The sequence below is a fragment of the Homo sapiens genome, chromosome 16, assembly GCF_000001405.40.
Source record: "Homo sapiens chromosome 16, GRCh38.p14 Primary Assembly".
Classification (NCBI taxonomy): domain Eukaryota; kingdom Metazoa; phylum Chordata; class Mammalia; order Primates; family Hominidae; genus Homo; species Homo sapiens.
The window spans coordinates 30,945,302-30,956,889 of NC_000016.10; the positions used below are offsets into that span (position 1 = coordinate 30,945,302).

General features: G+C 55.7%; 2 protein-coding genes across 6 annotated transcripts in view, besides 7 other annotated features; both read left to right on the forward strand.

Moving 5' to 3' along the window:
* Window positions 1-3,482, forward strand: part of FBXL19 (F-box and leucine rich repeat protein 19) — a 25,933-nt gene extending 22,451 nt beyond the window's left edge. For all 5 annotated transcript variants that reach the window (NM_001382780.1, NM_001282351.1, NM_001382779.1 and 2 more), the window contains exons 10-11: window positions 1,429-1,647; window positions 1,751-3,482. In NM_001382780.1, the coding sequence (NP_001369709.1) occupies window positions 1,429-1,647; window positions 1,751-1,929 (398 nt within the window). In that variant the 3' untranslated portion in view covers window positions 1,930-3,482. The remainder of the gene's footprint in view (window positions 1-1,428; window positions 1,648-1,750) is intronic.
* Window positions 3,193-3,442: a silencer, noted in NCBI's record as "silent region_7402". NCBI's record gives its function as "represses an Ori minimal core promoter by ATAC-STARR-seq in GM12878 lymphoblastoid cells {active_cell/tissue: GM12878}" and the evidence as "EXISTENCE:reporter gene assay evidence [ECO:0000049][PMID:35858748]".
* On the forward strand, window positions 3,767-9,637 carry ORAI3 (ORAI calcium release-activated calcium modulator 3). The gene is made up of 2 exons (NM_152288.3): window positions 3,767-4,216; window positions 7,884-9,637. The coding sequence occupies exons 1-2, from the start codon at window positions 3,989-3,991 to the stop codon at window positions 8,541-8,543; spliced, it is 888 nt and encodes a 295-aa protein (NP_689501.1). The 5' UTR covers window positions 3,767-3,988; the 3' UTR covers window positions 8,544-9,637.
* Window positions 3,813-4,072: a silencer, noted in NCBI's record as "silent region_7403". NCBI's record gives its function as "represses an Ori minimal core promoter by ATAC-STARR-seq in GM12878 lymphoblastoid cells {active_cell/tissue: GM12878}" and the evidence as "EXISTENCE:reporter gene assay evidence [ECO:0000049][PMID:35858748]".
* Window positions 4,086-4,604: an enhancer, noted in NCBI's record as "H3K4me1 hESC enhancer chr16:30960708-30961226 (GRCh37/hg19 assembly coordinates)". NCBI's record gives its function as "activates a minimal SCP1, AML or CMV promoter by ChIP-STARR-seq in primed H9 embryonic stem cells {active_cell/tissue: H9 hESC(primed)}" and the evidence as "EXISTENCE:reporter gene assay evidence [ECO:0000049][PMID:30033119]".
* Window positions 4,113-4,162: a silencer, noted in NCBI's record as "silent region_7404". NCBI's record gives its function as "represses an Ori minimal core promoter by ATAC-STARR-seq in GM12878 lymphoblastoid cells {active_cell/tissue: GM12878}" and the evidence as "EXISTENCE:reporter gene assay evidence [ECO:0000049][PMID:35858748]".
* Window positions 4,893-5,122: an enhancer, noted in NCBI's record as "active region_10740". NCBI's record gives its function as "activates an Ori minimal core promoter by ATAC-STARR-seq in GM12878 lymphoblastoid cells {active_cell/tissue: GM12878}" and the evidence as "EXISTENCE:reporter gene assay evidence [ECO:0000049][PMID:35858748]".
* Window positions 5,123-5,640: an enhancer, noted in NCBI's record as "H3K4me1 hESC enhancer chr16:30961745-30962262 (GRCh37/hg19 assembly coordinates)". NCBI's record gives its function as "activates a minimal SCP1, AML or CMV promoter by ChIP-STARR-seq in primed H9 embryonic stem cells {active_cell/tissue: H9 hESC(primed)}" and the evidence as "EXISTENCE:reporter gene assay evidence [ECO:0000049][PMID:30033119]".
* Window positions 7,700-8,265: an enhancer, noted in NCBI's record as "H3K27ac-H3K4me1 hESC enhancer chr16:30964322-30964887 (GRCh37/hg19 assembly coordinates)". NCBI's record gives its function as "activates a minimal SCP1, AML or CMV promoter by ChIP-STARR-seq in naive H9 embryonic stem cells {active_cell/tissue: H9 hESC(naive)}" and the evidence as "EXISTENCE:reporter gene assay evidence [ECO:0000049][PMID:30033119]".

Consider the following 11,588-nt stretch of genomic DNA (forward strand, 5'->3'; position numbering starts at 1 on the left):
CTGTGGTTCTTAAAGTGTGGTCGGGGGACCAGCAGCATCCACAAAACTGGAGAACTTGTTAAAAAAGTAAACTCTGGGCCGGGCATGGTGGCTCACACCTGTAATCCTAGCACTTTGGGAGGCCGAGGTGGGCAGATCACTTGAGGTCAGGAGTTTGAGACCAGCCTGGCCAACATGGTGAAACCCCATCTCTACTAAAAAAATACAAAAAATTAGCCAGGCGTGGTGGCAAATGCTTTTAATCCCAACTACTTGGGAGGCTGTGGCAAGGAGATTGCTTGAACCTGGGAGGTGGAAGTTGCAGTGAGCCGAGATTGCACCACTGTACTCCATCCTGGGTTACAGAGTGAGACTCCATCTCAAAAAAAAAAAAAAAAAAGTAAACTCTGGTCAGGTGCGGTGGCTCAGGCCTGTAATCCCAGCACTTTGGGAGGCCAAAGTGGGAGGATCAAGGCTACAGTGAGCTACAGGGAGGTTGAGGCTGCAGTAAGCTGTGATTGTACCACTGCACTCCAGCCTGGGTGACAGAGCAAGACTCCGTCTCGGGGAAAAAAAAAAAAAAAAAAAAAAAAGGAAAACGTATGTATGTCAGAAAAATGCATATAATATGTCAAATGGTGAGAAAAAGAGGAAAAAATGATGCAAGGAAGTGGTAGGAGTGTGGAGAATTACATTAGTTTTTGCATTGCTATAAAGAAATACCTTCGGCTGGGTAATTTATAAAGAAAAGAGGTTGAATTGGCTCAGGATTCTGCAAGCTGTACAGGAAGTATCGTGCCTGCGTCTGCTCAGCTTCTGGGGAAGCCTCACGTAGCTTTTACTCTTGATGGAACGTGAAGGAATCGGCATGTCACATGGCAAGACAGCAAGAGAGAGGAGGGGAGGTCACAGACTCTTTTATTTATTTATTTATTTATTTTGAGATGGAGTCTCGCTCTGTTGCCCAGGCTGGGGTGCAGTGGCACAATCGTGGCTCACTGCAACCTCCACCTCTCGGGTTCAAGTGATTCTCCTGCCTCAGCCTCCTGAGTAGCCGGGATTACAGGCGCCTGCCACCATACCCGGCTAATTTTTGTATGTTGAGTAGAGACAAGGTTTTGCCATGTTAGGCCAGGCTAGTCTCGAACTCCTGACCTCAAGTGAGCCGCCTGCCTCGGCTTCCCAAAGTGCTAGGATTACAGGCATGAGCCACCACGCCTGGCAGAATATTGTAGTCTCAAATACAATAATCATGGAAGGCCTCCGAGGAGGTGATGTGAGGAGTGGACAGATGAGGTCAGGCCATGAGGGTGTTTTTGAGAAGAGCAAGCCACAGAGTGCACCAGGTCACTCACTTATGTGGGAAGCAGGTGGAGGGCAGATGGTCTGGATACCTGGGCGCAGGGATGGGAGTGGCCAGGAGTGCTGACCTCTCATCTGGCTGCCCAGGGCAAACAGAGAGCCGTGGTCGGCTGCAGGGGGTGGCAGAACTGCGTCTGGCAGGTTTGGAGCTGACAGATGCCTCCCTGCGTCTCCTGCTGCGTCACGCACCCCAGCTGAGCGCCCTGGACCTGAGCCACTGCGCCCACGTCGGGGACCCCAGTGTTCACCTCCTCACGGCCCCCACGTCCCCACTCCGCGAGACCCTGGTGCACCTCAATCTTGCTGGTAAGCACGGTCCCCCATCCGTCCTGCCAGCCTGTGGATCCCCACGGCCAGTGCCAACCCCTTGCTCACCTGCCTGGTCTCAGCTCCACTGCCCCATCCCCAGGTTGCCACCGCCTAACGGACCACTGCCTCCCGCTGTTCCGCCGCTGCCCTCGTCTACGCCGCCTAGACCTGCGCTCCTGCCGCCAGCTCTCACCCGAAGCTTGTGCCCGGCTGGCAGCTGCCGGGCCCCCTGGCCCCTTCCGCTGCCCTGAGGAGAAGCTGCTTCTCAAGGACAGCTAGTTGGGCGCCCCCCACCCTCCCCCGGACTCGACAGGAGCCTGGACCTCCGGCTTCATTTCACCCCTGCTGGGAGGCCAGGTTCCCACCTCACCACCCTGGGATTCCTGAGTGTCAGTGACTTGGGATTCCCACCCAGGGACTCAAGCCAGCCACCCCCTTCTTTCCCCCCTGCACTGATATCTCTGGGGGTTTCTCCTTCCTATGTCCTGCCCCTGCTACCTGCTTCATTGTCCATCCCCTGGGGGAGTGGGTCAGAGGTACTGGAGGGTGCTGAGCCGAAGGGACGGTGGGAGGGGGGTTATGGTGCAAGTGTTGGGGGGGAGAATGGGGAAAGGACACACACAGGATATGGGAGCCAGGGGCTGGGGGAGGTGGAAGGGGCGGGGGGCGGGGCAGACAGCAGACCACCAAGGGTTCAGGGAACAAAGACCAGTTACTTGGAGTGGGGGGTGGGGGTGGGGCCACAAAAGGAAAACCGGAGGAGCAATTGGGGATCCAGGTGTCAGAGGTAGGGGAACCAGGGGCAAGCTGGGGCTGAGCTGGAGGTGGGGATGAGAGCAGGTGTGGGGACAGCAATACCCCCTTGGGGGTCACCTCTCTGCTTCCCCCCTCCCCAGGCTTCAGTTCCTTCCCCCTGACCCTGACTCCTTGAACGTCACTGAAAACGGCAGCTATTGCAAGGAGTGGGGGCCGCGGGCAGCCGCTCTTCAGCTCGCGGCCCAGGGGAGTGGCGAGGGGCGCCCCAACCCCCTGCCCGCCTCTCCGCACAATACTTGAACATTCATCTGTACTGAAGTGTTACTTGAACCGGGGGAATCTCGGACCTGGGGGAGCCGGGGTGTGAGGGGACTGGACCAGCTTGGACTGAGACCTGAGACCGGGCCGGTGGGCGCCCATTTGGGACTGCGCCACCCCCAGGCTTGTTCTTGTTTTACTGTATTGAGCGGCGGCACCCGCCGGACCCGCATTATGGCTGGGGGCGCCAGCCCAAGAATGGGGACCATGGGACTCCTCCAGCCTGGCTCTTCCCACTCTTTCATCGTCATGGAAACTTGTATCCCATTTGCCCAGGGAACTGCCACTCCTGGTTGCCATGGAAATAGCAGCCAACGGACACCTCCCGATGCCAGTGCTAAGGCTGGAAATGGCCCCCTCTTAGTTGCCATGGGAACCTAGTAACAGACTCTGCTGGCCCTCCTTCCCTGCCCCTTCCTCGAGCGCGGGGTGGGGCTTCGGGACCCCGGGGATGAGCCGGGCCAGGTCCCGCCCCTCCGCGCAGGCCTCCGGGGGGCCGGGGCTTACCATGTAGGGGAGGGGAGATCTATCCACATACCTCAGGTAACAGGGAGGTGCGCGGGTGGGGGGAGGGCTGGGCGGACCAAAGGCCGGAGGGGTGGGGCCTGGGGATAGCGAGAGGCTTGAGAATGGGGCCGCTTGGGGGAGGGAAGAGGCAGCCCGGCGAGGGGCAAGCGGGGGACCCAGCCGGGCTGGGCCCCTGGGCCCCGGGTCTGTACAATACGGTTTGCTATAAAACTCAAAATCTTCCAGCCGGGGCTGCGGAGTTCGTGTGTGTATCTGCGGGGTCCCTACCTACAGATGAGTGGGCTCACCTCTCCTGGACTCATTTTGGGAGGGATTTGGAAGTGTGGACACCTGGGGTGTCCAGCTGTACCTTGGAGGGGGCTGGGGTTGGCGTGCACCTCGGTGGGGTCCGGGCGCTTGGATAACGTTCTTGGTGGGTAGGGGTCGCGGGGAATCTCTGCGGGCCCGGGACTGCGGGGACTTGGTCCCCGGCTCCACCCCATCATGTGGCTAGCCCCGGCTCCGCCTCTGTCCCAGTTCCTGTTTTGGCCTCCGCTGTCCCGCTCCGGCTCCTGGGGCTCCCCGCAGACGCTGCTTTTCTTGCTCCACTGGGGGTGCCTCTTCCTGGGCGCCCGCCGCCTGCATCCTGCTCGTCCTGTCTGGGAATGGGGCCGCCCCCGGGCTTGGGCCGGCCCGGCTGGGGCCCCCGAGGCGCTTCCGCCCCGTAGTGACCGCCTGGTGCCGCCCCCCCCCCAGGATGAAGGGCGGCGAGGGGGACGCGGGCGAGCAGGCCCCGCTGAACCCTGAGGGCGAGAGCCCTGCAGGCTCGGCCACGTACCGGGAGTTCGTGCACCGCGGCTACCTGGACCTCATGGGGGCCAGTCAGCACTCGCTGCGGGCGCTCAGCTGGCGCCGCCTCTACCTCAGCCGGGCCAAGCTCAAAGCTTCCAGCCGCACGTCTGCCTTGCTCTCGGGCTTCGCCATGGTGAGGGGCCGGGAGGGGTCACACCCGGTGGGGCAGAGCAAGTGGGGGGCACAGGTCGGGGGGGGGGCGAAGTAAACAGGTCCCAAGGGAGACAGGTTAAAGGGGGCTTTCGTCAAAGGGGGAAGGAACAAGGTCCCGCGGGACTGAGCAAGTCCCTTCTTACGGATGTGTGTGTACAGGGGACCCCAGGAGACGGGGCCACCGGAGGACACGAAAGTCCTAAAGGTGTCGTAGTGGGAGTGGGGTGAACAAATCGCTGGTGGGGTTGACTGCAACAGTGAGGCAGAGTGGTCCAGATGGAGCCTGTACCTGGCAGAAGTGGTTCCTAAGTCCCAGTGCCAGCTTCAAAGGCAGGTCAGCTGGGTGGGGGCTGCATCAACAGGTGGGGGGCTCGAGATGGATTAGCTGGGTGGAAGGGTCACCCAGCTGAAGGTGGGCCCGTCCCAGGGAAGGTGGCCACTCTCCAGCGGGCCCAAGGGGTGCTAGTGTCAACCAGGAAAACTGACAAGAGATCATGCCCGGGAGGGAACCGCTGGGGAAGGAGGCTGATGAGGAAACTGATAAGCGAGTCTCAAGCTGATAAACCCCAGGTGCAGGAGGACGGTGTTGGCTAACGGTCTGCCCCAGCAGTGGCCTCACAGGAAGTGGGATGGAGGGAGGTCCCAGGGTGAGGATCAGCAGACACAGTCCTGGCTCCTCCCTGCTTGTGGCCAGCTGTGTGACCCTGGACAGGCCTCCACCCCGCTTGCAAGCCAGTGGGAAACTGAGATCATGGAGGGTGCGCCCTCTGTAGCCAGCCAAGTAACCGCCCCAGGGTGAGCCAGGCATGTCAGAGCAGGTCACGTACCAAGGATGGCTCAGACTAGCCTGCTAATTGGACAGGTGTGGAAAGTAAAAGCCTTGCCTCTGGGCAGGAGCGAATGAACTGGGACCCAGGGTTGCTGCTCTGTTAGTCTGGGGTTGCCCCACCATCACCCCAGGAAAAAGGAGAAAGTGAGCTGCAGGAGGTACTTTGGGGAACGCACTCCTGTGGGGGTGGATATCAGAGGCGGTTGGGGTGGGGACCATGGCGCTAGGGGATCTGGGCTAGTCCCTGCCCTGTCTGTGCCACAACCTCCATATTTGAACAATGACAGGGAAACTCTCTAACCCTAAGGGTCATCATAAGCCTATGGTCTTCTATGTGGGGTCCCAGAATCCACAGACCAGCTTACCTTTCATGATGGGGGCATCACCTAGGGACAGGATGTTGGCTCCCCTTCATCTGCACAGCCTGCAGAGGGAAGGGAGCAGCCACCCAAGCTGAGGGAGGTCAACCCCATGGTCCAGCCTGTTCCCAAGGAGACAATCCCTCCACGGCAGAATATGCAGGTGCAGGTTGCTGGGGTGACAGCTTAAGGGCCCGAGCCTTCTCTGCAGGAGGAAGGGGCTGGAGGTTTAGGTTCCGGGGGCAGGACTGGCCGCAGTCCTAGCAGGGGTGACCGAGGCTGGGCCAGGCTCTGGGAGAAACCAGGACTAAGCCTGGCCCAGATCCCTGTCTGTGGAAAACACCTCCTGACACCTGCCATGGCCCAATTTCCCAAAATACTCAGCCCTGTTTTCCTACCTCCACCCGCCAGCCTCTACACCTACCTTCTTCTTTCCCCAGGCCCAGAGCAATCGAATGGACCCTACAAGAACCAGGGATGGGGAGAGAGTGGGCTTCTGAAACTCAGGTGGCCTAAGTTAGAATAGCATTATACAAATTGTATCCAGCTGTCACTAAGCACCAGGCACTGCCCTCAGTGCCTTTATATACATCATCTGTTAGCCTACAAAGTGGGTACTGCTACTCTGGCCATTTTACAGATGAGGAAACTGAGGATCAGAGATGTTAAGACACCTGCCCAAGGTCCCACAGCAAGTAAGTGGCAGGATTTGAGCCTAAGCCGTCTGGTTCCAGACTCCAAATTTATAAATTCCTAGAATAGGGTCATCAACTCAAATGTTTGCAAAGGGCCAGGCAGGTAATATGGATGCCAAATTGGCTGGGTAGGGACTAGCAAGCAAGAGACCCCATGACATTGGGGGTGATGGCTCACACCTTTCATCCCAGCACTTTGGGAGGCCAAGGCAGGAGGATCGCTTGAGCCTAGGAGCCCAGGAGTTCGAGTCCAGCCAGCCTGGGCAACATAGCAAGACCTGGCATCTACCAAAAAAAAAAAAAGAGAGACCCCATGACCTTTCCAAGGGGAGCAGCCATGACTGATTTGAGCTGATAGTTGCCATGCAGGAACGCAGGCCAAGTGTGGCTAGTTCTTCCAAGTTTTCAAGGGGATCTGGAAATAGGGATATAAGAAATCTCTTCAGTTTTACAAGTTGGCAGCATCTTCCATTTTTTAAGAAACACACTGTGTGAGCCAAGCAAAACACGTCTGCAAGCTGGCAGTGGTCCACAGTGTGCCGATTTGTAAACTCTGTCCTCAGACTTTAGCATTCACTATAGCAAGAACAGCAAACACATACCTAGTGCTTACTCTGTGCCTGGCACTGTTCTTTTTCTTTTTCTTCCTTTTCCTTTTCCTTTCCTTTCCTCTTTCTTTTTCTTTCTTTCTTTTCTTTCTTATCTTTCTTTTTTTTTTTTTTTTGAGACAGAGTCCCACACTGTCACCCAGGCTGGAGTGCAGTGGTGCGATCTCGGCTCACTGCAACCTCTGCCTCCTGGGTTCAAGCAATTCTCCTGCCTTAGCCTCCCAAGCTCCTGAGTAGCCGGGATTACAGGCGCACACCACCACGCCCGGCTAATTTTTATATTTTTAGTAGAGACAGGGTTTCACCATGTTGGCCAGGCTGGTCTTGAACTCCTGACCTCAGGTGATCCGCCCAACTCGGCCTCCCAAAGTGTTGGGATGAAAGGCGTGAGCCACCACTCCCAGCCCATTTCATGTATATTTCATTTAATGTTTATACCAACCCTATAAGGCAGGGAGGTGCTGTTATCAATCTCTATTTCCAGATAGGAAATTGAGGCACACAGAGAACTGACTTGCTCAAGATTACACAGCTAGAGCAGAGAATGATCCCAGGCAGCCCAGCTCCAGAATCTGCTGTTTGATCCCTATGCAGTAAACCTGTTAGAAGCATGTCATCCAGCCCTTTTTTTTATTTTTATTTTTAATTTTTTTTTGAGACAGAGTCTTGCTCTGTTGCCCAGGCTGGAGTGCAGTCACATGATCTCGGCTCACTCAAACTTCTGCCTCCTGGGTTCAAGCAGTTCTCCTGCCTCAGCCTCTCAAGTAGCAGGGATTACAGGCATGTGCCACGATGCCCGGCTAATTTTTGTACTTTTAGTAGAGACGGGGTTTCGCCATGTTGGCCAGGTTGGTCTCAAACTCCTGACCTCAGGTGATCCACACACTTTGGCCTCCCAAAGTGCTGGGATTATAGGCATGAACCGCCGCGCCCGGCCATCCAGCCCTCTTGATAGGGAGGTGGGGAAACCAGAACAGAACAGAGCCTTTGCAAAGCTGTCCATTCGTTTACTCAACAGAGACTGAATGTCTCTGGTTTCTGCCAGGCACAGTTCTAGGTCCTAGGGATATGTATCAGTGATGTATCCCGATAGGCGGAAAAAATCTCTACAGTTGAGGTTATGGGGAGATCAGTACATCCCCTCTTGTCCCTGCAGGTGGCCATGGTGGAGGTGCAGCTGGAGAGTGACCACGAGTACCCACCAGGCCTGCTGGTGGCCTTCAGTGCCTGCACCACCGTGCTGGTGGCTGTGCACCTCTTTGCACTCATGGTCTCCACGTGTCTGCTGCCCCACATTGAAGCTGTGAGCAACATCCACAACCTCAACTCTGTCCACCAGTCGCCACACCAGAGACTGCACCGCTACGTGGAGCTGGCCTGGGGCTTCTCCACTGCCCTGGGCACCTTTCTCTTCCTTGCTGAAGTTGTCCTGGTTGGTTGGGTCAAGTTTGTGCCCATTGGGGCTCCCTTGGACACACCGACCCCCATGGTGCCCACATCCCGGGTGCCCGGGACTCTGGCACCAGTGGCTACCTCCCTTAGTCCAGCTTCCAATCTCCCACGGTCCTCTGCGTCTGCAGCACCGTCCCAAGCTGAGCCAGCCTGCCCACCCCGGCAAGCCTGTGGTGGTGGTGGGGCCCATGGGCCAGGCTGGCAAGCAGCCATGGCCTCCACAGCCATCATGGTACCCGTGGGGCTCGTGTTTGTGGCCTTTGCCCTGCATTTCTACCGCTCCTTGGTGGCACACAAGACAGACCGCTACAAGCAGGAACTAGAGGAACTGAATCGCCTGCAGGGGGAGCTGCAGGCTGTGTGAGACTGGTGTTAGCCACCGCTCACTGCAAGCACTGCCTCCCTCCGGGGTCTGTAAGAGGCCGCAGGGGCCTACAGACCTCATCCCCCCATCCCCTGGCTGGAGCCACTTCCAGTGGCCACTCTCAGGCAGAGTTCAGATTCCTGCCCGCAGGGTCCTCTGGGCTGGGCCTTGGGGCAGCTCCCACATTCCCAGGGATTTTCCCCATCAGTCTGTCCCTTGGGTTTTGCAAGCTACTCTGCACCTGGGCTGGCCTCAGTTGAAGGATCATGCAGTAGATAGAGGGGAGGCAGGGAGAGCTTGTGGGACCTTCAGTGCTGACTTTAGCCACCATTTCCATTCCTATACAGGATGTGAAGGTCAGAAGGCAGCCAATTGTTGGTTTAATTTTTTTTTTTTTTTGAGACAGTCTGTTTCCCAGGCTGGAGTGTAGTGATACAGTCACAGCTCACTGTAGCCTCGACCTTCCAGGCTCAAAAGATGCTCCCACCACAGCCTCCCAGGTAGTGAGTAGCTGGTACTACAGGTGTGTGCTGCCACACCCGACTAATTTTTTTGTAGAGACGGGGTTTCGCTGTTCCCAGGCTGGTCTCAAACTCCTGGGCTCAAGTGAACCTCCCGCCTCGGCCTCCCAAAGTGCTGGGATTCCTTTCTTTATTTCTGTAGAATCTATTTTATGGTTGGCATTTTGGGGGAAGATTTCGATGGGTTCCACATTCTTGCTTTAGTTGTTGTAGAGGGATTTGGGTGTTTCTACCCAAGGCATTGGTCTAGCTTTTCCTACAATGAACCTATCTTTGGAGGTTCAAGCTCCCCACCTTCCCCCACTGTGGTGACCTGTGGCCACTTGCAGAAGGGATGGTGCCTGACCCACTGCCCTAGCCCCACGCTATGCACCAAACTTGTTCTCCCCGTCCTGGTCCAGGGCTGGGGTCTTTAGAGACTGACAGCCTCTGCCCCAGGCCTGAGTCCTTAGCAAGGGTTGGGTAAGGAGGTTTTAAGGGAGAAGGTCCAGTCCTTAGCCCTTGAAATACAAAGCTCTTCTGACACTGAATTTGGATGCACCTTGTTTTATATAATAAATCGTGTTTCACAGATGTCCCTGTTGCTGTGAAGGGGATGCAGGGCAGGCCTTCTTAGGATAACTTTACTTGTTCCCAAGAGCCGGGTGGTGGCAAGTTTGGGTGGACAGGACCTGGGAGGGGAGTGGGTTTCAGGTGTAACCCTGTCAGATGCTAACAAGGGCCAACAGCTTCTGAATGGGGAGAGTTATTCCAAGGCTACAGGCTTTGAACTCTTGTCCCTGAGTTCAGAGTCTCTATCTCTTCCACTGAGTATTTATTTATTTAGAGACGGAGTCTTGTGTTGCCCAGGCTGGAGTGCAGTGGTGCGATCTCAGCTCACTGTAACCTCCGTCTCCCAAGTTCAAGCAATTCTCCTGCCTCAGCCACCAGAGTAGCTGGGATTACAAGTGTGTGCCGCCACACCCGGCTAATTTTTATATTTTTATTAGAGACGGGGTTTCGCCATGTTGGCCAAGCTGGTCTCAAACTTCTGACCTCAGGTGATCCACCTGTCTGGCCTCCCGAAGTGCTGGGATTACAGGCATGAGCCACCACACCCAGCCCTCCCTGAGTGTTTAGTATAAGCACTCTTTTTTTTTTTTTTTTTTTGAGACCGAGTCTCGCTCTGTCTTGCACTGTCGCCCAGGCTGGAGTACAGTGGCATGATCTCGGCTCACTGCAAGCGCCGCCTCCTGGGTTCACGCCATTCTCCTGCCTCAGCCTCCCAAGTAGCTGGGATTACAGGTGCCCACCACCACGCTCGGCTAATTTTGTTTTTGTATTTTTAGTAGAGATGGGGTTTCACCGTGTTAGCCAGGATGGTCTTGATCTCCTGACCTAGTGATCCCCCTGCCTTGGCCTCCCAAAGTGCTGGGATTACAGGTGTGAGCCATCGCGCCCAGCCGAGACAGTCTCACTCTTTTGCCCAGGCTGGAGTGCAGCTGTGCAATCTTGGCTCACTGCAGCTTTGACCTCCCAGGCTCATGAGCCTCCCACCTCAGCCTCCCAAATAGCTGGCACCACAGGACGTCCCACCAACCCAGCTAATTAATTTTTTTTTTTTTTTGTAGAGAGGAGGGTCTCACTATGTTGTCCAGGCTGGTCTTGAACTCCTGGGCTCAAGTGATCCTCCCACCTTGGCCTCCCAAAGTGCTGAGATTACAAGTGTTAGCCACTGCACCTGGCCTCAAGTTTCTTTCTTGAGCAACTACCACATACTAGGGGACTTTCATAGGTTATCTTATTTAACTCTCACAACACCTTAAGCGTTAAGTCTTTATCATTTTCATTTCAGAGATAAGGAAACAGGCCCAAGAAGGCTGAAGATCTTGCCCAAAACCACACAGCTAGTCCATGAAACTGAACTTGGACTATCTACCCCTCACACGGGAATCTCTCTTTGATTTGAGAAAAGGAACCAGTGCCTTTCAACTGGAACAGAAAGGAATCTGATCTCAACACCTATGCCTCCACGTAAATTATTTTTTTCAGCCTTATTTCCCTCAAAATTGTAGAGTCCTAATCTTCTTCTATCTTGTGGTGTGAGACCTTGGATAAGTCTCCCTTCCACCTTTTCCTATTACTTAAAATGGTGAATTTGCATAAACCAGGCTCTAAGGGTCTTTTCTGCACTGTTCGGATGTGTACAAATTGACATCCAAGTTTAAAGGAAGACTCTGAAACTTAGGTCAATGACTTGCCCAAGGCCATATAGCGAGGGCCTGATGTACACATATCAGGAGCTTGGGGCATCCTCAGCTCAGGAAAAGGGACCTCCTGGGAGTGCCTGCGCCCACACGGGATCAAAACGGTGCCCAGCCTTCAGAAACCTCAGCCCGAGTTCCAGGGGTAGGCCTGGGCCGCTGCTGCCCTTGTGCGGAGGCATCCCGTGAGCATAGGGCGCCATAGCCAAAGAAGCGGGCAGTGGGACCATGACGCCAGGAGGACACACCAGTCCAGTCCCGTTCCTGTAGGACCTCGTTTA